Raw genomic sequence first — 24,658 nt, forward strand, 5'->3', positions numbered from 1 at the left:
TTGTTGCTTTGTTTTTTTTCCACTTCAAATCACAAAATAAGTAGATTTTGTTTTCTGAAAACTCCATAGCATTTGAATACAAAAAGTTGTGCCAGATTGTTTGCCCTAATTCACTGTGTTTAACAAATATTTCAGTACACACTATGTATTAGGCACTGTGTGGAAAGTGTTAAGGGGTAGACAAAATACCGAATAATCTCCACAAGTTTATTTGTGGTCTATAGTACTTTTGTAACTGGGGTTACAAAAATTATAGAAATTTTTTTCCTTTGTTCATATGCATATTCATGATTATAATTTGGCTTTGTTTGTGATTAATGTTTTCTTAAGATTTTCACATTATAGAATACCTCAAAAGAAGTTGTCTAAGGACTGGGATAGAGAGTATGTTTCATAAAATTGTAGATGTTTAGAATTTTTAAAAACCCTACAAATTAGTATATGATTGTTTTATATAAGTAAGATAGGAGCAACACTTTAAATTATTTGTGGGAGAATACAGCATTAAAGGTGATTTTAAAAGAAAAAAATTTGGAATTTTAGAAAATTTAAATGCTGTCAGGTATGGAATGCTGGGCTTCCAATCCTGGCCTCATTGTCTCCTCACCTGTGATGTTGGATGAGTTATTACACTTGAAATGTCTTTAAGCCTTAGGTTCCACAAGTATGAAAACAAGTAAGTAACAGTATCCTTTCTAGACTTGTTTAAGATTTCCATGTAAGTAATTATAATGACTTCTGACACATAATAATGTCGTCTTATACCCCAACAGTAGGAAAAAAATGCAGAATTCAGTATGAAAGTATTGTTACCCTTTAACACAGTGGTCCCCAACCTTTTTGGCACCAGAGACCAGTCTCCTGGAAGACAGTTTTTCCGTGGGATCGGGGGATGGTTTTGGGATGAAACTGTTCCACCTCAGGTCATCAGTCATTAGTTAGATTCTCATAAGGAGCGTGCAACCTCAATCCCTTGCATACTCATTTCACAATAGGGTTCATGCTCCTATGAGAATCTAATGCCACCACTCATCTGACAGGAGGTGGAGCTCAGGCAGTAAGTCTCCCTCGCCCGCCACTCACCTGCTGGGCGTTCCTGTTCCTAGCAGGCCAGAATTGATACTGATCTAGGGGTTGGGGACCCCTGCTTAACATGTTGAGATTAAATGGAGAAAGACTTAAGCTTTTACTTTTGTGATTGACACTTGCTTCAATAATGTAACCTTGTTCTGTGTTTTTATCATTTATTAACAAATTTCTTTTTTCTTAAGGGAAGCCTCCAAAATCAAAGAAAAGTGAGTTACAATCCATAATGAATATTTGCCTTACCAGCCTACTGGAACACATTCATCAAGAACTTAAGAGGAAGAAAGTTTTCTGCCTTCCTCCTTCCTAGTGCTCTCAGCTATCAACTTTGAAATAAGTTTAAACAACACCTACTGAAAACAAAAACCACTTAGTATAAAAATATCCCCCACCAGAATTGGGTCCCCCATATCATTTCTACAAAACAGTTCTGGAGTGGATCAAAGTCTCATCAGATCAGCTTGCCCCTTCTTGTTTGGGCAGGTTCTAGGAGAAGCTGCTGTAATACAAAAACTGAAAGATGAAATCGTAAAGCTAGATAATGATAATGATATTTAGTGGGGAAGGCTACAGTATGTTTTCCCATAGGCATTTAAACACTCACTTTTTCCAACGCTTTATACTTTGTCCCTATAGCCTTTGTAATTTTAACTTTGATGACAGTTTAACTTAGGATAACCTGAATATGGGTATTACTGTTAGTCATTTGTATTTTTATCATTTAACATTTTAAATGAATGTTTAATTTGCTGGGTTGAGTAATGCCAAGGGAATGATGCTAAAAACAAATAGATGTGAGGTTAGTAAAAGATTAAAGTTACAATTTATGATACGAGAACTTCTTAACTATAGGAAAGTAGGTAAATGACCCTAAAAGGTTTTCTCAGAAGGTAAAAGTTTTACATCAGTCTGAAGACATATAACTCTAACATTTCAGTTTAGTTACTGAAATGACTTTTTCTGGTGTCATTGAGATACTGGCTGTTTGTTCCAAGCCATTTTAGGCTGAGAATGACTCTTAAGGTCTTCTAATGCATTTCAGAGGGTTCTAGAAACAACAAACTGAACATGATATGAAACTAACAACATAGAATGCCCCCCAAACAAATTCCTCTAACCTCACTGAGTTTACTTGCCCTATTACTATTTTTTTTTTTTAAGATCTTCTGTCTCTTGTTTTTGTTTTATCCCTTACCTGATGAAAGTGAACATTTCTAGTGGAGAAAGAAGATCACAGTTCTCTAATATGGGCATTAAGAGAGGGGTACAGCTAGAGGGGAGGTGAAAACCTGCCTCCACTGGGGTGAAAAACAGTGTGCTGAGGTTTCAGCCAGTGATTACACTGGGTAATCAACCAGTCCCATGTTTCACAAAGGAGTTGTAATGATTAACAGTTCAGGTATGCTTCTGAGGAAATCTAATTGAGACCTTTGGAAAATAGCATTGTTATGAATGGTGTGGTGTTACGCCCTGAGGGAAAAGCTAGAAAAACATTTTACTTTTCAAGTGTATTTAAATTACATCCAAATGTTTCAGTGTGCTTTACTGGAGACTGCCTGAGTTTGGAATTCAAATATTGTAACCAAATTACTCCAGGTTTCTGAACTAAAATGATCTATTGATGTTTCTCAAAGTATAGATCACAGAGTAAGAAAAGAGGAAATCAAGTCTGGTTTATGACAAACTTTTTTCCATGTTAACATTGGACCCAAAGATGTTACTAAGAGCTTTTTACTACTGTGAGAGAACCAGCGTGATGTGAAGACAACGAACATTTTAAGAAGTTTGACTAGTAGACATTTCGTTTAAGTCTTTTGGAGGGTCTTGGTTGACAACCCACAATTTTATTGTGGCTCCCCAGGCTTTGAGAACGTGTGGGCTTGGATGATCATTGTTGACCTATAAAAGAGCACAGGTCTCTTGAGAGTTTATTGACACACTACTGATCAGACCCCCACAATATGTCTCAACCTCTGTTGAAGGGCTAGTGATGTTTAAAAAAACCTGTTATTTCCAATCAGAAATTGAAGTTATGTCTCTTACTCCATCAAAATTTATGCTTTTCAGCATTGGGTAAGTCTAGTTTCTTGGTTTGTATATTAAATGCATATTGAGTAAAATTCTTAGTGATTTAGAAACCATCTACATGAGGCTTCCCAGGAACTTGTTAAAAGTACAGGTTGCACCTCTGCATTACTAGAATAACATCAGTGTACATTTGGGAGATCTGCATTTGAAACCCTGAGGTTGTCTGCCTCCTGCCCTTGAGATCTTCCCTTGTATTGAAATTATATATATATATATATATATATTTTTTTTTTTTCCCCTCAGTTTCTTTTACCTTTGTGAGGCTAATATATGCTGACGTGTTGGATTGTAAAACAAAAAATTGTGCTTAAAAGAATGTCCCTCCAGAGGGCAGAATTGTTGGGTAAAGCATATAGCGCAGAGCAGAATAAGAGGTTCAGTATGGCCTCTGGATGAGGGTATTGCAAATTTTGAATTAGGCTCAAATAAAATGATTTAAATTATATATCAATTCGAGGATCAGATATTAATTGGGAGGTCACATGACTTTCCTTGAGCCTATCTAGATAAAAGTAAAATGCTTTTTTTCCTACGTTTTTGAAAATTTAGAGTTTATTGTTGCTCATCTCAGCAAATTAATGTTACCAGCATCTTCTGCCTTCCTCCTGTCCCTCAATTCCCTACTTTACTAAAAGAAGGCTGGCCAAATTGAAAAGTAGTTGAGTTGGAGACTTGATAAATACTTTTGAAAATACTTAGAGAAACCACCCTTCATCTTCCACGTAAAGATCTCAGTTCTGTACAGAGAGGCAACTACAATGAGTATTTTCTGCAAGTAACATGGAAATCATGATTTGATTGCCATGTGTTTCTAATGTTCAGTATTAAATGTTTATAGCCCTCGTAGGAAACAAACTTCTGACCTAAGTTGCTGGACTACTTGAATAGAAAGGTAGTCAGCACAACTAGTGCCATCTACTGGGTCATTGCTGCATAGTTTCTGTCTGTTTAGAAATCTGGCTTAGTTTAACACGTGGGGGAAATGGTTCTGTTCCAATGAATAGCGATTTTTGCCTGATAGTGGTGTTAAGTATGATATGGAAAATCCTTAAGGGGCAGTTGGGCCATTTGTTTAGTTTATGAACAATCAACACTGACATTAAATTTCAGTTAAGTAGATGAAACCCTGAACTGCCCCTAAAGCTATAGAAAATATGGGAAAGGTTGCCAAGTTTTGTATTCTCATCACATTTGTCAATATTGTTGGTGAGAAGTGTAAACTGTTAAAAATGCCTTTTGGTGAGTGGTGGTTTGGTAAAAACAATTGAAGTAGAACACGACACTGCCCTTAGAAATTTCATTCCTTTACCCAATGGTATTTGGTAAAATCCTGGCCAAATGACTGCTGCTGTTGTAATTATGTGAGCTTTGCAGAACATAACCTATTTTAAATGCCAGAATGTGCTTCCATGAAGAAGAACATGGTTTTGGGCTGAGGAGATCTTGGTTTGAGTCCTGGATCTATTTACTGGCTCCAGGACCATGAACCTCGTTATAAAATGATAGTGGGGCTATGTACTCATAGTGTTAGGAGGACTATGTGAGCTAATGTATGCAAAACATCTGCTCCATATCTAAGGGTCAACAAATGTTAAGCCCTTTCTCCATCAGCATTGGAAATAAGTTAAAATACTGTTCATTTCTCCATGCCATTATTAGAAAACAATCTTCTATAATTTAAAATCTGAAATATTAAGCAATTTATGTGAATTATTACAATTATGTTCTTTTTTAAACAGTCAAACCAAGTTTTTCCTGTCTTGTCTGGGCACAGACAAGCACTTATGCTGACGGTTTACCGTGACAGCATGTAGGGTTGGGTCTTCATTACAAAGATCTGCCCACTAGCTGAGTACACTGGTGTTTTTCCATTCACCTCTGCCCAGCAGGACAAGATGATGAAAGTACAGAGAACTTGTGGGTCCAGGTTTGTGTCAGAAAGGAGGTTAGTGGCTTGCTTAGGGCCAGGCAGAGGGCACATTGGAAGGAATTCTCTGTTCCCGGTGACAGCCCTTGGAATTGCTGTGCACCCAGAGTTGCGGAGTAATTTATTGGCTTCTGATAACTATAGTATTGGATAACTTCCCAACATTTTATTAAAAATTTTAAACATATAGGCATGTTGAAAGAATTTATACTCACCACCTAGATTTTGCCACTATCACATATCTGTGCATCCTATTAATACATTTTTAATTATTATTTTTTTGAGACAGAGTTTCTTTTACTCAGGCTGGATTGCAATGGTGCAATCTCAGCTCACTGCAACCTCTGCCTCCAAGATTGAGGCGATTCTCCCACCTCAGGCTCCTGAATAGCTGGGACTACAGAGGGGAGCCACCATGCCCGGTTAATTTTTGTATTTTTGGTAAAGAAGGGGTTTCATCATGTTGCCCCAGGCTGGCCTTGAACTCCTGGGCTCAAGTGATCCTCTGGCCTCAGCCTCCCAAAGTGCTAGGATTACAGGCATGAGTCACCGTGCCCAGCCAGCCATTAATGCATTTTTAATATATTTTTAGTCAATTGCAGACATCGTACAATTTTCCCTAAACGTTGCAACATGCCTATTCATTACAGTTCAGTATTTTTCAGGATTTTTTTTTTTTGTAAAATTTACAAAGAAATGTGGAAATCTTAGTTGTGCATTAGTTGAGTTTTAACAAATACCTAGGCTTTATCGCAACCTCTATCAAGATACAGAACATTGCTGTCATTCTAGAAGCCTCTGTAATGTGCCTTCCCCAGTCAATCTCTTTTTCCATGGCCCCAGCAGCCATCATTCTTTCAATACTTTAAAAAACATTCTTATCTGAAGGGAAATTTCATATGTGCCAAAGTCATCTCTAGATTTCTCCAAGTCTTAACCATGCCAGAGTACAGCCAAACCTAGCCCTTCATGCATCTCAAATAAAGTTCTAAGATCTTGGTATTTTATTCTTCCCTGTTTCAACTTAGCTCCAACTCTTTTTTTCTTTTTTCCATCAAGATTTAAACCTGTCATCCTTGACATTTGGGGCAGAAACTGCTGAAATGAAGGAGGACTTGCCATCAAAGAACTGGCTGAAAGGAGTTAGCACACCACTCCTCTGCCCTGAACAGTTCTAAGCAAGAGGAGGAGCCTGTGGCAGGGCGTGATATGAAGTCCTCAGAGATAGAGTGCCAAGAGTAGAGGGAGTATCCTGGAACTTCAGTGTTTGCAGGTCAGTTGCTCAGTTCTTCAGAAGATATTGATTCTTAGGCTCTAATTTTCTTAAGGTATGAGCTGAACTGAAGTGCTCTCTCCTCCTTAGGATTTTGTACTCCAAGGTTGGCATTCAGAATCCGCATAGCCAGAGAGTGTAAGTTACTTGTCAAGTAAAGACACCCCGCCCCCCGCTACAACCCCCCACCCTGAGTCTACAGGGAAATATTCCTGAGTGAAACAGACTAAAAAAATATAGTCATGTGTTCTTTCCCAGTCCATGTGCACGTGCACGTATATACACGAACACATGACACATTATCACTGCCATCAGAGGTGTTTCTGCATTGAACTCCACATATCTGAGTCACATGCATATCAGGTCTTTGCTTTTCTTTCTCATCAATTGTTTAAGGATTCTCTCCTTCCACTTCTTTAATGGGCTGCCTATACTTTGTTGAGCACTAACTATATGCCAAGTACTATGCTAGTGAGTTACCTATGAAAGACCCTGAGAGGGAGGTTTTGTTATCCCCATGGGAAGGATTGAGTAGTTTGCATGAGATCACACAACTAGGCGGTGACTGAGTCCAACACACCAAAGCCTATACTATTACAGTTGAGCAATAGTGAAACATTGAGGCTGCTGCTGACAGTGGATGGTGCTTCATAGAGGATATAGAATTGGAGTTAGTTTTGAAAGGGAGTGTATGCAGAGGGGAAGATGGAGAACAAAATATGGAATTTGACTAATTTACATTTTTACCTGAGATTAGTCATACTTTAAATGTCAACTTATTACAAACCCAATTAGTCAAATTTAAGTCTACAGAAGTGGTATCAGATCAACAGGGAAATTATGGACTCTTGGGTATTGGGATAACTGGATACTCTCCCTAACCACCACACAAACAGTAAAAAACCATGGGTGAATTCTATTAAGAATGGAGAAAATTTTCCAAAAATGGCTCAAAGTCCAGAAGCATTAAAGGAAAGATTGATCAATTTGACTACATTTACATGTTAAAAAATAAAATGACAACTGGGAAAAACATTTGTAACATCACAAAGGGCTAATATTCCTAACATAAAAAGAACTTGTATAAATAGAGAAGACAAAACACACTATGGAAAAGTGGGCAAAAGATATGGACAGTTCACAGAAAAAAAGTTCAAATGGCCCTTAAGTATATAAAAAGATGCTCAACTTCACTCATAATGAAAGATGTAAATTAAAATACCACCAAGATAACATTCTTCACTTTTAGATTGGAAAAAATATGAAAGTTTGGCCGGGCGCGGTGGCTCACGCCTGTAATCCCAGCACTTTGGGAGGCCGAGGCGGGCGGATCACGAGGTCAGGAGATCGAGACCATCCCGGCTAAAACGGTGAAACCCCGTCTCTACTAAAAATACAAAAAATTAGCCGGGCGTAGTGGCGGGCGCCTGTAGTCCCAGCTACTTGGGAGGCTGAGGCAGGAGAATGGCGTGAACCCGGGAGGCGGAGCTTGCAGTGAGCCGAGATCCCGCCACTGCACTCCAGCCTGGGCGACAGAGCGAGACTCCGTCTCAAAAAAAAAAAAAAAAAAAAAAAAAAAAAAAAAAAAAATGAAAGTTTGAAAACACACTTGCTTGGCCAGGTGTGGTGGCTCATGCCTGTAATCCCAGCGCTTTGAGAGGCCAAGGTGGGTGGATCACCTGAGGTCAGGCATTCAAGACCAGCCTGGCCAACATGGTGAAACCCCGTCTCTACTAAAAATACAAAAATTTACTGGGCATAATGGTGCGCACCTGTAATCCCAGCTACTTGGGAGGCTGAGGCAGGAGAATTGCTTGAACCTGGGAGGTGGAGGTTGCAGTGAGCCGAGATTGCACCTCTGCACTCCAACCTGGGCGACGAGAGTGTAACTCTGTCTCAAAAAAGAAAATATTCTCTTGGTAACACTATTGGAATAGGAACATTCACTGATGGAGGAAATGCAAAACTGTATAATCTCTGTTATAGGGGAATTTGGCAATTTTACATTTAAATTTGCCTTGTGACCCAGCAATCCTGCTATATTATTCCTTTCATATTGCTATAAAAAAATCTGAGGCTGGGTAATTTATAAAGAAAGGAGGTATTTTTTTTCATGGTTCTTCAGGCTGTATACAAGCAGGGCTGTTAGCATCTGCTCAGCTTCTGATGAGGCCCAGGAAGCTTTTGGTCTTGGTGGAAGAGAAGAGGAGCCAGCATATTACATGACGAGAGGAAGCAAGAGAGATACCAGGCTCTTTTAAGCAACCAGTTCTCATGTGAACGCATTGCTACTGAGAAAGTGCCAAACCATTCACGAGGGATCCACTACCTAGACCCAAACACCTCCCCCTAGGCCCCGTCTCCAACAGCGGGGATCATATTTCAACATGAGACTTCGAGGAGACAAATATCCAAACCATATCGCCCACGTTTAGGAATGTCTCTCCATGGTAGATGATTTGCAAATAGACGGTGGTATACCCATTCCATGGAAGCAGGGAAATATGTTTGCACGTCTTTGGTTAGTCCTCTTCTTTTCTACTGACAGTGGGCTTGTCCATGTGTCCTGCATGATCAAAATGACAATAGCAAACTTGATGGCCACAGAAGATTGAAAAGTGCTTGGGCATTGAGCTTGCTCTCTCTTGAAGTGCTTGGAGCCCTGAGACTGCCATGAGACCACATAAATGATCACTAGCTAGCCTGCTGGAGGATGAGAGGTCACTTGAGAAACCTTGGCTCACAGCCTGCTTACACCAGACACATGGATGAGTCTGTCTTAGACTATCCAGCTCCAGCTGAGTTGCCAGCTGACTTCAGTCACATGAGTGAGAACAACAGAAGGACAGCACTGAGCTCTGCCAAAATTGCTGACCTACAGAATCTTGAGCTAATGAATGATTGTAGCTTTATGCCATTAAGTTCTGAGGCAGTGTGCTATACATAGCAAAAGCTAACTGATACAAAACTAAAGATACAATGGCACAAACATGAAAAGACATGTTCACCGAAGCATTGCCTATAATAGTTAAAGACTGGAAACGACTCAGATGTCCACCAACTCAGGAGTGGTTGAACCTACTACAGTGCATTCACCCCGTGGAATACTAAGCAGCTCCAACAGGGGTAGGAAATTTGTATACTTTCATAAAATGATCTTTAGGATATATTGTTAAGTGAAAAAAACAAGGTGTAGAATAGTTAATAGAGTATGCTACCTCTTATTTAATAAAGGGAGAATATAAATATGTATTTTGCTTTTATTTAGAAAATGAAAGAATAAGAAACCACTAAAATGATTTTTTAGAAGAAAGCAAGGGGACACAGATGGAAGTTAGATTTCTCTAAATTTACTTTGTTTTGTAGCTAGAACTTTAGAACCATGTCAATGTTTTACACACGTCACACTTATAATCAAGATAAAAAATACTTATACAGTGATGTGTCACTTAATGACAGGGATATATTCTGAGAAATGGTGCCGTTAGGCACTTTTGTCCCTGTGCCAACATCATAGAATATACCTACTGCACACCTAGGCTATATGATGTAGTCTATTGCTCCTAAGCTACAAACCTGTATAGCATGTTACTGTACTGAATACTGTAGGCAATTGTAACAGAATGGTAAACATTTGTGTATCTAAACATAGAAAAGGTACAGTAAAAACACAGTATAAAAGTCAAAAAATGGTACACTTGCAAGGGCACTTACCAGGAATGGAGCTTAGAGGTTGGAAGTTGCTCTGTATGAGTCAGTGAGTGAGTGGTGAGTGAATGTGGAGGCCTAGGAAATTATTCTACACTACTGTAGAATTTATGAACATTTGGGCTACACTAAATTTATAAAAAACATTTTCTTCTTCAATAATGAGTTAGCTCACTGTAACTTACTTTTTAAACTTTTTAAATGTTTTTTAAGTTTTTAACTCTTGTAATAACACTTAGCTTAAAACACACATTGTACAGCTGTACAAAAATATTTTCTTTATGTCATTCTATAAGCTTTTTAAAATATTTTCAAATGTATTTTTTTTTTTAAAGCTTAAAAAAAACATGTAAGAGGCCGGGCGCGGTGGCTCACGCCTGTAATCCCAGCACTTTGGGAGGCCGAGGCGGGTGGATCACGAGGTCAGGAGATCGAGACCATCCCGGCTAAAACGGTGAAACCCCGTCTCTACTAAAAAAATACAAAAAATTAGCCGGGCGTAGTGGCGGGCGCCTGTAGTCCCAGCTACTTGGGAGGCTGAGGCAGGAGAATGGCGTGAACCCGGGAGGCGGAGCTTGCAGTGAGCCGAGATTGCGCCACTGCACTCCAGCCTGGGCGACAGAGCGAGACTCCGTCTCAAAAAAAAAAAAAAAAAAAAAAAAAAAAAAAAAAAAAAAAAAACATGTAAGACACCCACATATTAGCCTAGACCTACACAGGGTCAGGATCATTAATATCAGTGTCTTCCATCTCCACATCTTGTCCCACTGGAAGGTCTTGAGGGGCAATAACATGTATGGAGCTGTCATTTCCTATGATAACAATGCCTTCTGGAAGGCTTCCTGAAGGACCTGCCTGAGGCTCTTTTTGAGGCAGTGTCACTCTTTTCAGAAATATGTCCATGGTGGTTTACTCAATTTGCTTCTTTTTTATTCATAGATTTGCATATGTAATGCATTGCGCTATACCATTAAGACAGCTATGATGTCACTGCAGTTACAGTGTCACTAGGTGATAGAAATTGTCCAGCTCCATTACAACCTTATGGAACCACTGGTGCATACGTGGTTCATTGTGGTCCATTGTTGACTGAAACAATGTTATGAGGTGCGTAACTATATATCCAAAGCAAAAGCTAAATGAAATAAATGAAACTAATTGTGTTGGTGTCCTAAACACACAGAGGAGAATTACTTCAAGTATTTTTAAAACACAGTCACTTGTCTATGCATTTTTAGTGGATATGCCCTAAAGTATGAAACTAAATTAAAAATAAATAAAAAATTAAAAATAAAATTAATTTACAAATAGTATTAATATTGAATAATAATATATGTTAATATTGTTACTCTGAATCTATTATATACATTTTGGAGGATAAATAACATGCAATTTTGTTAATATTAGGAATCAAGAAACTATATATATAAAATCAAAGCTGCTAAATAAAATTATAAATTGTGTTTATAATTACAAATTTGAATTGGAAATATCATTATAAAATCATAATGTATTTCCTTTACAGAAGCACATTTTCTAGCCCTGTTATTTGAAAATCAGTAATGAGCACCCTTAGAATGCAGATTATAGTCTCTAAATGCAATTTTCTGCTAAAAGGAATAAGAATTCCTTGGAGAAATGACGAATGTATGAGATGAGCTGAAAACATCTTGTTGAACATGAAATAAAGGAAACCCTTAAAAAATACTGCATTTTTAAGGACTAGGAGCCAATTTAAAGGGATTATTTCTTGCCAAAGATGGGAAATTGTGTATACCAAAACAACAGTTGTGATAAATTGAAATTCATATTAAAATCTGAGAGTTTAAAATTACACTTGGCCAGATGTGGTGGCTCATGGCTGTAATCCTAACACTTTGTGAGGCTGATTGGGAGGATTGCTTGATCCCAGGGATTTGAGACCAGCTTGGACAACATGGTGAGACCCCATCTCTACACAAAATTAAAAAAATTAGCTGGGTGTGGTGGCGCATGCCTATGGTTGCAGCTACTGAGGGGGCTGATGAGGGAGGGTCCTGTGAGCCCCGGAGATCGAGGCTTCAGTGAGCCATGATCATGCCACTGCATTCCAGCCTGGATAAGAGAGCAAGACCCTTTCTCCAAGGAAAAAAAAAAAAAAAAAAAAAATATATATATATGTATATGTACATATGTGTGTATATATATATATGTATATGTACATATGTGTGTATATATATACACATATGTATGTATACACACATATACACATATGTATGTATACACATATGTATGTATACATACATACACATGTATGTATACACATATGCATACATACACACACATATGCATACATACACACACATATGTATACATATGTGCACGCATGTGCATACATACACACGTGCATACATACACACATGTGCATACATACACACGTGTACACATACACACGTGTATACATACATATGTGTACACATATACACGCGTGTATACACACATATGTGTACACATATACACACATATGTATACACACATATGTATACATATACACACACGCATACATATACACACATATGTATACATATACACACACGCATACATATACACACATATGTATACATATGCACATATATACACACATGTATACATATACACACATATATGTATACATACACACATATGTATCCATACACACGCATATGTATACATACACACGCATATGTATACATATACACACATATATGTATACATATACACACATATGTACATATACACACATATATGTATACATATACACATATATGTATATACACACATATATGTATACACATGTATATACACATGTATGTATACATACACACATATATATGTATACATATACACACATATATGTATACATATACACACATGTGTATACATATACACACATATGTGTATACATATACACACATGTGTATACATATATATACACACATATACTCAAAACACACACCGAAAACTCATTGTTCTGAAAATAGATAAATAAAAAGAATAGAATATTTATATTGTCTATCCTATAAAAACCATGCCTCAGGGTAATCTAATAGTTGATATGGAAAAGTTCTTTTTTATAAGAAATTCCAGCTAATAAATTAAGAAGGAATGACAGCATTATAATATCACCATTTTGCTACTTCTAATGAAATAATGAATCTATGAAATGATCACCAATGTCCTCTAAATCATTTTGGAAAATTGATGAATGCTTTCTAATAAATGGATCTAGTTGACAATTCAGAACCACCTTGATCAATCACAAAACACTAGACAACCATACATTATGCACCTCCTGATATGAAGCAATAAGAAGAACTAACACTAGTATTCTTTAAAAAAAAATTGATCCTGACTGTATTCGGGTCTCTATATCTACCAGTTTATGGAAATTAGAGTGCAGAGAACAAGTTAAATAATCCCATAGGAAACAATGTCTGAAACCCTGTAAGATCAACAGCCATGTTTCTTCAACAAATAAATTGCAAGGAAATTAAACGGGTGATGATTGTGGAAAGTCCTCTCAAGGGAAACATAAACTAAATGCAATGTGTGAACCTTATTTGAATTTTGTTGTGAAAGAATCCACTGGATAAAAGTATTCAATGGACATTTGGGAAAATCTGAACTGTGATTAGATATTGATGATATTAAGAAATGGGTCACTTTTTTCCCAGTGTGACATGGCTTGTTGTCTATGTTGAAGAGTCCTAATATTTTGGAGATACCTGTTGTGTCCTGTTCTAGTTTCCAGTTCCACATTTAAGGAGCCTGGACGTCACCACTCTACCCTAACGACAAGTAAAAAAGCCGAACAAACTGAAAAGTTAACAGCTCTTCTTAGATCTGTAAGAACAGTGAGGTCATAGAGCAAACCACTGCCCCGCAGAGTCAGGCAAATACAAAGAATCACAACTTACCAGAGCAAAAACCCAGGAGCAGAAACCTCCATGGGAACCAGTGCAGGATAGGAAAACTTGAACTGTAGTGGATGATTTGCTGGAGGCTCAGAGTGACAAGTCTAAGAGATTAAAAACACCAGGAAAATCCAGTCACTGAGGGGCTCCCACACTTTTGTGAGTTTTATCTCCTGGAGCTCTACCAGATTCTCATAGTGAATATCAAAGAAAAATCCTCTCCCGCTTCTGGCAGAGGGAAGGGAAAAGTAGTCATTTTGAAATAAACCAGAGAATTCTGTTCTGAATACATGAATGATAAAAAAGTGAAACAGCCTATTGCTGATATATAGAAAGTTTTAGTGGTCTATATAGAAGATCAAACAAGCTATAACATTCCCTTAAGCCAAAACCTAATCCAGAATAAGTCCTAACTCTCTTCAATTCTGTGTAGCCTGATAGAGGTGAGGAAGCTGCAGAAGAAGAGTTGGAAGCTAGCAGAGGTCAGTTTATAAAATTTAAGGAAAGAAGCTAAGTCCATAACATAAAAGTGCAAGGTAAAGCAGCAAGTGCTGACGTAGAAGCTGCAGCAAGTTCTCCAGAAGATCTAGCTAAGATAATTCATTGAAGAAGGTGGTGCTATAGTTTGAATGTTTATCCTTCTAAACCTTTTGTTGAAATTTGTTCCCCAGCGTTGGAGGTGGGACCTAACAGGAGGTGTTTGAGTCATGGGGGCAGATCCCTTAAGAAGGACTTGGTGCCGTCCTTGTGGAAATGAGTGAGTTCTTGTTCTGTTGGTTTCTGTGAGCATCTGGCACCTCCCCTCTCTCCTGCTTTCCCTCTTGACATATGATCTCTACACACCAGCTCCCCTTTGTTTTCTGCCATGAGGGGAGGCTTCCTGAGCTCTTCATTAGAAGCAGATGTTGGCAACACATTCTTGTGCAGCCTGCAGAACCATGAGCCAAATAAACCTCTTTTCTTTGTAAATTACCCAGTGTCAAGTATTCCTTGATAGCAACACAAACAGAGGAAGACAGGTGGCTACATTAAACAACAGATTTTCAATGCACAGTTGACCCTTGAGCAACACGGTTTGAGCCTGTGCAGGTTCACTTTTACATTAATTATTTTCAATCAAATGCAGATTGAAAATACAGTATTCATGGGATGTGAAACCCACATATATAGAGAGCCATCTTTTCATATATGCAGGTTCCACAGAGCTGACTGTGGGACTTGAGCATGTATGTATTTGGGTATAGGTAGAAGGTCCTGGAGGCAAGACTGAAGGATGATTAGACAAAAGAGTTTTCTGTTGACAGAAGATGCCATCTAGGACTTTTATAGCTAGAGAGAAGAAGTCAATGCCTGGATTCAAAGCTTCAAAGAATAGGCTGATTCTCTTGTTAGGGGATAATGCAGTTGGTGATTTTAAGTTAAAGCCAATGCTCATTTACTGTTCCAAAAATCTTAGGGCCATTAAGAATTATGCTAACTCTACTCTGCCTGTGCTCTATAAATGGGAAAACAAAACCTGGATGACAGCACATCTGTTTATAGCATGGTTTACTGAATATTTTAAACCTACTATTGAGAATTACTACTCAGAGAAAAGGATTCTTTTCAAAATATTGCTGCCCATTGACAAGGCACCTGGTCATTACAAGATGAAATGATAGGATATTAGTTATTTGCCTCAAAATAGTCCTGTGGGTGGGAGTATAGATGAAGTAAGATTATTCATAAGATGATAATTATTAAGGATTGGGGACTAGTATAAAAGGGTTTATTATATTTTTCTATCTTCTACTTATTTTCATTTTAAAAAAAGTTTAAAAATTTGAATGGACACATTATCTGCCCTGAGAAAGCTAAACCTTATACTATGATATAACAATCTAGGAATGCTCAGAATTTGGGACAAGCCAGGTATTAACCTCGTGCAATCTTATTATATCCTGAGTGGGAAGACGGAAATATCACTCTGGATGATGATGGGAAAGCAAAGTATTTCCCTTCTATTGGAAAGTTTAGATCTGGGTCTAGGAGGCCAATTTAGGTATAAGCATGCTTTTAACATTGAAAGGGACTGGCATAATAATTGTATTAAATTAATGTGTGCCAAGCATTTTAAACAGTTCCTAGAAGGTTCTAAGTGCTATGTAATTGTTTGCTGTTGTTATTTCATGTTAATGATTTCCCCATGATCAGCCATCCTGAAATAAGCACTAGTGCTGGGAAGACCTCCTCCTACCTTTGTGAGGTGGTATTATTGAGACTATACAAACCAGGAATTCAGACCTTGGACTTTTGAAGGACAGAAAGCTGACTAGTCCCTGAGAGTGCCTTGTTTTCCCCTCCATTTTTTTTGTGTTTCTAGAGAAGAGAGACAGTTTTAGGACTGGCTTTCTCAGCAAATGCAGCAATAATAGAAGCTGCCAGCAGCGCTGGAGGCAGAAAGGTGGCGGCTGCAAAATGCTGGCAGCAAGGAGGGCAGCAGAGTGCACGGCAGGGACCCAGCGAGACAGCGGTGCAGATGGAGGCAAGGAGCTCAGTGCCAGCAGGGCACCACAGGGACACAGGGGAGTAGGAATGACGACTTGCCAGATAGGAGGGAGTTGATGTGGGGTTGGGGTCACAGACACCAAAGAGTTTACCAACTAGTGGGGGAATACGTTGATTCATCATTGATTGGAGGTTTTGGAGGATGGTGTTTCATTCACTGCCTTCTTGGTGGTGCTTGTGTGGCTGCTTGAGTGAGAGTGTGTATGTACCATGAGCATGCAGATGTGTATGTGTTTGTATGGATATCTGGTTGTGCGGCACCAGTGATAACAAGAGGACTCAATCCCCTGGTAAAAAGGAGCCTAACTGCATATTTAGATTAAATATTTGAGTAAGCAAACATTGCTGAATAATCAACCTGATGAATATTTTTCCCTCTACAGTGAAGTTGCATTTCATACACATTTAGTTTATGAGAATTCACTAAGAGTACTTGGCTTAGTAAACAAGAAAGCCAACAAAACCCAATAAAAATAAGACAGAAGTGGGAAAGAAAGACAAAAATATTCATTTTAATAGTGCACCCACCATGACACCAACAACTGGCGCCCCCCGGGTTGTCTCAGCTCTGACATGGTTCTTAGAGGGCAGCATCTTGCTGCTCTGTGGGACTCTAGCCCTTGAAAACACATCTATCTTTTTGTTTTTAAAATAATGTAAAGCAACTGCCTTACCCAGAACTCAGTGAAGAATACCCACTTCTAACTCTCACTCTATAAAAATAAAATTTTGAAAATTAGATTTTTCATGTCTCTGTTATAGTAAGTGGAATCATTTGTAAGTGATTTATTGTATAGGGCTGCATACATAAAACTGTGCATCCTAAGTTAATTTAAAGAAATTTAAAAAAAATTTAGGCAATGCATGGTTTCATTTTATATGCTGACTTTAGACCCTATCCCTGCAAAAAACATGAGTCCTCTCTATGATTTATATTATACACATTGAATCAAAATAAATGCCTCATTTGAATGTGGTGAAACAGTGTGGCACAGAGGGTGTGTCGAAATTTGGTGTTTATTATTTTGTTTCATACAAAACAAAAGTAAGTCCTTAAGAACAGGGTTGGGAGAGCACTGAAAAGTGAAGATGAAGCTTAAATGCAGCATCTGGGGAAGGAAGGGCCAAAGGATGTGGGAAAATTACTCTTGGTAGTGTCCCAAAGGGAATAGGCAGTAATGGGTAGGGGTAGAAATGTGATAGAGCTGTCAGAGAACATGAACTTGGCTATGTAAGTTCCGAAGCATAGGTCTGGTTTTACCTGCTCTTACGTGACAAATTGTTTATCACATTTGAGCCGTCTGTGCAGACCCCCACCCCTATGTTTTAGCCGTGCTGTGAAATGGCATGAAGCACCCATTGGTCCAAAGCAACCTGGTGGCCACTGCTCAGTAGGAGTGAAAGTGCTCTTGGTGCTGCCTGTTACCTTCCCTGTTCTTTTTCTGGATCCTTCTTTGGGATTATCAACATATCTAGGGTTTCAGGCTTGTCTGTGTTTATTGTCGATTGGAGGCAGAAGAGCTTCCTGGGAAGAGAAGTCAAGCTAGGCCCATTGCTGGGGTTCAGAAGCATCTGCCCTTGCAGGGCCCACTGGTGAGATTGCCCAATAGGTGTAATTTGAGTGGGAGAGGAAGGTGGTGGGAAAGGGTGAGAATATCCTAGGAAAAAACGATCTGGACATGTGGAACTTGACCAGAACAAAGCCTTCCTTGACAGGGCAAGAGGAGGCGTTGAGTACAATGCAGTGACTGTTCCCAGAGTCCATCCTTATCCCTGCTTGCTGGCTGGGTCCTGGGGAAGGAGAGAGCTTTGGGGATAAAGGGAAAGGGCTGACTCAGTAACCTATGTAACATAGTAGAGCGCAAGGTTGCTCTGAGATGCCTGTCGCACAGGTTCAAACACCTGCAACCAAAGGAGACATTATTCATCCACTTGCCCTGCTAGATTCAGCTAAGGGTTCGGGAGGTTGCCAACTTATATGTTTACTGCTGGACCTGTGAGAGCATCAGGGCTGCTCCTGAGCTTGGAGCAGGCAGGGGTGCGCATGCAGAGAAGTGGGGGCCCCCTGGATTGTGAAGGGGTCCTGGAACTCTTGGGTTGGGTGAGTATTTTGCAGGGAGCTGGAGTGCCTGAAGGAGCCCTCCATGGTGAGTTAAAGTCAGTATTAACTTTTTGGTTTTACATTTTTCTGGGGCTTGAAATTATCTCCTTACACATCCATGGAATTAAATGACTTCATAAAAAGTAGTCTCAAATGTGTTCATGCAAAATAGATTTATTATGCTTTAAAACTCTAACTTGTCTTATCTGTGGGTGATTTAAGCCTCTTTTGTGGTATAAGCGTGGGTTTCTTGGCTTTCTTGTAGCATTTTCTTTAGATTTTGGAATGTTATTAATGAAACTAATGTTTTAAAACAAGAAAAAATTCTTTGGAAGATTCTCCAACATTTTCAAGAGCAGTTTCAGAGAAGAAAATTAGTTTTCTAAGTTCATTTTATGTGATTTCCACACAGACCTCCTAAAGCAAAATCAATATGCAATAAAATCCTGGGCACTGGAGCTGTTACTGTCAGTTTCTCACTAATAAGTGTACTAGACCTAATCCCCTGTCCTATTCATGCACCTTTGCCTACATTTGTGTCCAGGTATACTTTGAGAAAACCAAATGTAAAAATGTCTTGCTACATGATAATTTCCACCTTGTACCCACATTATTTCTTGCACTTTCTTTTTCCTGCTCCAGTAGAAGTTTTGCAAATTTGTGTGAGATACATTTTTTTAACCTTTTCATGATGAAAGGAGAGAAAGTTAATTTATAAGAATTGGCTGCTTTTCTGATTATGGAGGAGGGAGAGAAACATAAGTCAGCAAGCAGGGATCTATTCTTCATTGTTTACTTCTTACCTCCATCTTCCCTGTTTCAAGTTGGGGACAGGGCTAATCCCAATTTCAGAGGAGGCTGACCTGACAGCTGGGCTGCTTAGAGGTCTGGTCCTTCCTTGCACCAAGGGGGCTTGGGCAAAATTCTGAAACCTGCCATGCAAACACTGCTGGTTAATCCTGGCAGGTCATGTCTACTGGCTTCTCTTTTTCCTTTCTTCCACAATCACACACAGAGCCTTGACTTCAAGCTTCCAGGAATTAATAAAGGCAGAGACAAACATTACACTTCCGAGATTCTAATTAATTTTGATATGGATTTATGTGTAAAGTTGGATGAGTCACTGATTTTAATAAACAGGAAAGAAAATCTTAAAGATTAATGTAATAGCTGAGAACACAGGCACCAGAACTTTGATGCTTGCTTAATTTTTTTCTCCCAGCCCATGTCATTTGGAGAAAAAATATCAAAGACAGTTACGAAGGGAGAAAGGAAAGGGGATTATGCAAATTAGAAGTGAACAGGACTAAATCATTACTCTTGTGCAAATGAGCTTCTCCTTCATGCGCTTTTCAGGAGTGTTTTAGGGCTATATTTGCTGAGGATACATTCCTGAAGGTAATGAGAAATGGAAGCATGATGGAAAGAGCCTGATTATAAACTAATTGATCTTTCTAAGTATTACTAAAGGTTAAAAGGGAAAAAAAAAAGAAAAAAATCTGAAGTCCAGTAAGAACTTCACCTTGTTTACATTAATATCCATCTTTTTGAAAAAGTGGCAATAATGAATTAGTGACATACACACTTTGAGCTTCCCTTTCCCCACACCCAGCCTAGGCAGTGTCAGAAGTATAGAGCAGTATGGCTATTTTTCCAGCTGACCTTCCTAGTGGTCTAAGCTCCTTATTAGCTTCAGAGCTGCTGCTGTCCTGCTTCATCTGTCTTTTGCCCTGAGTTGGGGACTACGGCAGAGTGTAGGTTTCCAACTGTTAATCGAAACTTGTCATGTTAGGTGCAGTGGTTAAAATCATCAGCTTTCTGGTCTCTCAAGCCAATCACGTTCCCATTTGATGGAATATTCCAGTGTTGAGCATCACCAAGATTAACTACTTTAGCCTAAAGCTCCCTTTGGCCTGATAGAAGACAGTAATACATATACAGATTCATTTTGAGTGATTGTACAGATTAAGTATTCAATTTTTTCCTAAATAATAAGCTAACATTGTGTTAGATTTGAAACAATGCACAAGGCCGTATTGTGTTTGATTAACCTTGACTGTGGGTGCTTTTGTAGCTTAGGCAGCTGGTTTGAACAAACTTGCAAATTCACAGCCTTACAAAGAAAGTCATTAATTTTTTATCATTTTATAAAGTAGGAACTTTGTATGTATTTACTGATAATGAGGGGACATATGTAGGTTGACATAATTTATTGATACTTTATTTCACATTTGAGTTTTGTGACCAAATACTTATAAATAACATCCTGGGATGTACATATTTTCTCACCTATAGTATTTTTTCTTAGAATAAAATCAATGAGAGTGTATTGCCACTGAGACTTCTGAAAAAAGCAACTAATAGTCGTTAAGACTTTGGAGGCTGAATTTTGGCTTTGCCTCTTATTAGCTGTGCAACCTTGAGTAAATCACTTACCCTCTCTAAGCTCAATTTCTTGAGCTTAAAAACGGAGACAATATCACTTGCATGTTAGGGTTGTTCTGTATTAATTGAAATAACCTATGCAAATTGCTTAGGCCAGTGTTGGCCACATAATGAAGCACTTAATTAGCATAGCTATTATTATTATTTCTAGAAATAGGATTGCTGGCTTAAGTGTATGTAAAAATATTGATGCATATTGCCAAAGTTTATTTTAAATTTTGAATATAAAGTTGTGGGTCTCATTAATGAACATATTATAGTAAGAGGTAATAGGCATGTCCACAAATGCAAGAAGCTGCTCCTACTATTCACTTGTTTGTTTTCTCTGTTCTGTCTTCTTCTTATAACAGCACCTTGGTTTTCCTTTGGAGAAACACCTTGCTCCCATTCTCAGTCCATGTAGTTCAATGGGGTTGATCCCATCCTCTGGCTTCAGAAGGGAGCAAAAGTATATGAGGTGGTCCTGGGTAATAAAAATATCATACCCGACTCCGCTCCTGGACACAGTGATTGGCTCAGTAATAGGCATGTGACTTGAGCTGGGCCAATGAGAACCCACTGTAGGATGTTTACTGACTGATTAGGAAACTGTCCTCATCCTTTTACATCCTTAGCATCCTTAGGAGATGCTAATCTTGTTGACCATCTTTGCTCCCATACAGAAAAATTCTTCTGGGGAATAAAGCATAGAGAAATGAAGAGCTAAGATACAGAGGAGCTTCCCAAGACCATGTTTGAACATTTGTAAACAGCCATGCCTGGACTTCTGAGTTAAACGAGTCAGTATATTTCCTTTATTGCTCAAATCACTTTTTGTGTTGGGTCCTTTTTGAAAGGTGGCCAGATCTGCCCAATCATATTATGCTCCTCAAGGACACACCCTGTGTGAGGAATAAGCAGGGTTTCTACCAAGTCAACTGTCAGAGTGATTTACCTTCCATGATATTTCTGAATGATGGTAGACTCAAGTTAATGTGAGTTATGTGATGCCTGTCTGTCATTGGATGAAGATCTACACTGGACAGTTTCAGGTTTCTTTCTAAACCATGACTGAAGCCATAGATTACCTGATAACCAACCATGGTTCTATAAATGTCTGTACGTGTCTATAAAAGTCAATGCAGAAAATTAAAAAAGAAGTCTGGGTCGGGTGCGGTGGCTCAAGCCTGTAATCCCAGCACTTTGGGAGGCCGAGGTGGGTGGATCATGAGGTCAGGAGATCCAGACCATCCTGGCTAACACGGCAAAACCACATCTGTACTAAAAAAAATACAAAAAAATTAGCCGGGCATGGTGGCGGGCGCCTGTAGTCCCAGCTACTCGGGAGGCTGAGGCAGAAGAATGGCGTGAACCCAGGAGGTGGAGCTTGCAGTGAGCCGAGATCGCGCCACTGCACTCCATCCTGGGTGACAGAGGGAGACTCTGTCAAAGAAAGAAAGAAAGAAAGAAAAAATCCGAATGGGCTGTTAAAATGAAAATCTGCACACTGCATCTATTGGTACTAATTTCAAAGACTTCTTTCCTGTAGGTTTGCATTGCAAAACATAAACATTGCTTATATTTGATTTTTTCATTTGTCCATAGTGATTATACAAAGGCTGATACAGAGCACCCATGTGGAGGGGTCACAGAAGGTAAAGCCAAAACATAACATGAAAACCAAATATGGCAGGGCTTTGAGCACCAGTACAAGGCATTTGCATGTGATTCTTTGCAAAATGGAGAGTTGTTAAAAGTTTTGAATAAGGACGCTTCTAGAGGATTAATAGGGCAATAATATGCAGATGAGCATAAAAGGGAAGAGACAGATGCCTGTTATTGGGCCATTGCAATATTTCAGAATGAGATAAAGAAGTAGGGCAATGGGAGTGAAAAGAAAATGATGGATGGGAGAGACATGGAGAAGGAGGAATAAATAAGAAGACTTGGCCTCCACAAGAATATGGGGCACCAACGGAGAGAGAAAAGTGAAAGATGAGCATACAGTGATGTTTTAAAAAGTGAGTTTGGGAAACTGCTTTTGTTCAGTGGAGGAGCTTGCGGAGAAGATAATGAGTTTAGTTTTATACGTATTTGAGCCCTTTTCTGTTTGGCTGTCAGCTCTCCTAGAAGCTGAATGTGGTATGTAGAGTGGGATGTAACCATGAGGTTACCCTGGAACTCAGAAACTGCTATAGCTATAAAGAGAAGTATGAAAAGTAACTTAAAGAACAACGACCTTTATCCATAGCCTGGCATTGTCTTAACATATGTAAAGAAAAAATGGCTTCTTTAGGAATTGTTTGGTAGTGAAATAAAGAAAATGGTGAGTCATGGAGACAAAATTTGGCAGTTCAACAAGAGCACCATTTAGTGGCATGCTGCTTAGGTCTGGTGTGATTGCCAGATGTGGCCCAGTGTGTTGATGGATGGATGCACCAGTCTATTTTAACCTTATGCCACTTCATCATTTGTTCTAATTTTATCCTAACCAAATCTACCTTCTAATTATACTTTGGTTCCTCATCTAGTTTCTAGGGCAGAAGAAAAATTCCTTGTGAGTAGCAGATCCCTTTACATTGTTTGTTATTAAATTGTCACTTCTGAGTTTCCACAGTGTTGAGTCATCACCCTCACCATTTATCCAACCCTGGGGTGCAGGCAAGACTGAATTTCCCTCTTTATAAGACTGTAGTCCAGTCTCTGCCTGGGGGTGACCTACCAGGTCAAGGGCTCCCTGCTAAGCCCGCATGGTAGATAGGTGACTGACCTTCCTCCTGATATGTTCTGGCTTTTCCATGACCACTTCTGCTCTCTAACGCCAAACATACCAGGCAACCACGCATTCAACAACAAGGCCTCTAATTTGCTAGGAGGGTTGTCACAGACTGCAAGGATTAACAGCTAGAACATTTTTCCACTTGGGGAACTTGAAGGCACCACACAAATCCTATTTACTTCATTCACTCATTTGTGTGTGTGTGTGTGTGTGTGTGTGTGTGTGTAAAATCATAAAGTTATTCTTAATCGCTATAGGAAAAAAAAGAGAAACCAAACAAACAAACAAAAACTGTTAATGTCCCTATGCAGAGGCAATATGCACTTTGCCTGCATAGTTTGCACTTTTGCCTATTTCTTCCTAGGCAATTTCATTTCTACTTTAAATTTATATGAAATTTTAAAAGCTTTATTATCTGGTTCTCAATACCACTGTAGATTAGAAGTAGCAATTTAGAGAAAGAGAAGAAAAAGAAAAGTCATAAAAAGTAGATATAATTTTTTAAAGTGAAGAGTGCTCTGGGGTCACACACAGCTCAGTAATCCTGAGGTCAGTCACTGCATTGTGACTGATGTAATAATACATTTATATCTTGATGACCTCAAATTGTCATTAAATGGTTAAATTAATTTTGGTATATATCTTTTAAAAGTCAGAAATACAAAAAAATACACTTTTCAACTATATTGTTCAAACTGGTTAAAAAACATAAGAAGTGAACCCTTAGCTGTCTAGAAAACCTAGCTACAGAGAATTATTCCTTTTCACTGGGTTACAAATAAACAAGATCCTA

General features: G+C 38.7%; 2 long non-coding RNA genes across 6 annotated transcripts in view; both read left to right on the plus strand.

Annotated features, from left to right (window-relative positions):
• Positions 1–243: 243 nt before the first annotated feature.
• On the plus strand, positions 244–11,916 carry LOC124900605 (uncharacterized). 5 transcript variants are annotated; one of them, XR_007088697.1, is made up of 3 exons: positions 244–3,159; positions 4,914–6,512; positions 8,500–11,916. It is a non-coding gene; the product is annotated as an uncharacterized LOC124900605 (long non-coding RNA). The 5 variants fall into 5 exon arrangements; XR_007088696.1 differs by lacking the exon at positions 244–3,159 and having other exon boundaries at positions 3,412–6,374; positions 6,465–6,512; XR_007088695.1 differs by lacking the exon at positions 244–3,159 and having other exon boundaries at positions 3,412–6,374; positions 6,465–6,512; positions 8,923–11,916.
• Positions 11,917–14,574: 2,658 nt separating this feature from the next.
• LOC124908062 (uncharacterized) overlaps positions 14,575–24,658 on the plus strand; it is a 39,374-nt gene continuing 29,290 nt past the window's right edge. The window contains exons 1-3 of the long non-coding RNA XR_007088698.1: positions 14,575–14,771; positions 21,770–21,886; positions 22,692–22,741. This is a non-coding gene — a long non-coding RNA (uncharacterized LOC124908062). The remainder of the gene's footprint in view (positions 14,772–21,769; positions 21,887–22,691; positions 22,742–24,658) is intronic.

Source organism: Homo sapiens, chromosome 2 (genome assembly GCF_000001405.40).
Source record: "Homo sapiens chromosome 2, GRCh38.p14 Primary Assembly".
In the NCBI taxonomy this organism is placed as follows: domain Eukaryota; kingdom Metazoa; phylum Chordata; class Mammalia; order Primates; family Hominidae; genus Homo; species Homo sapiens.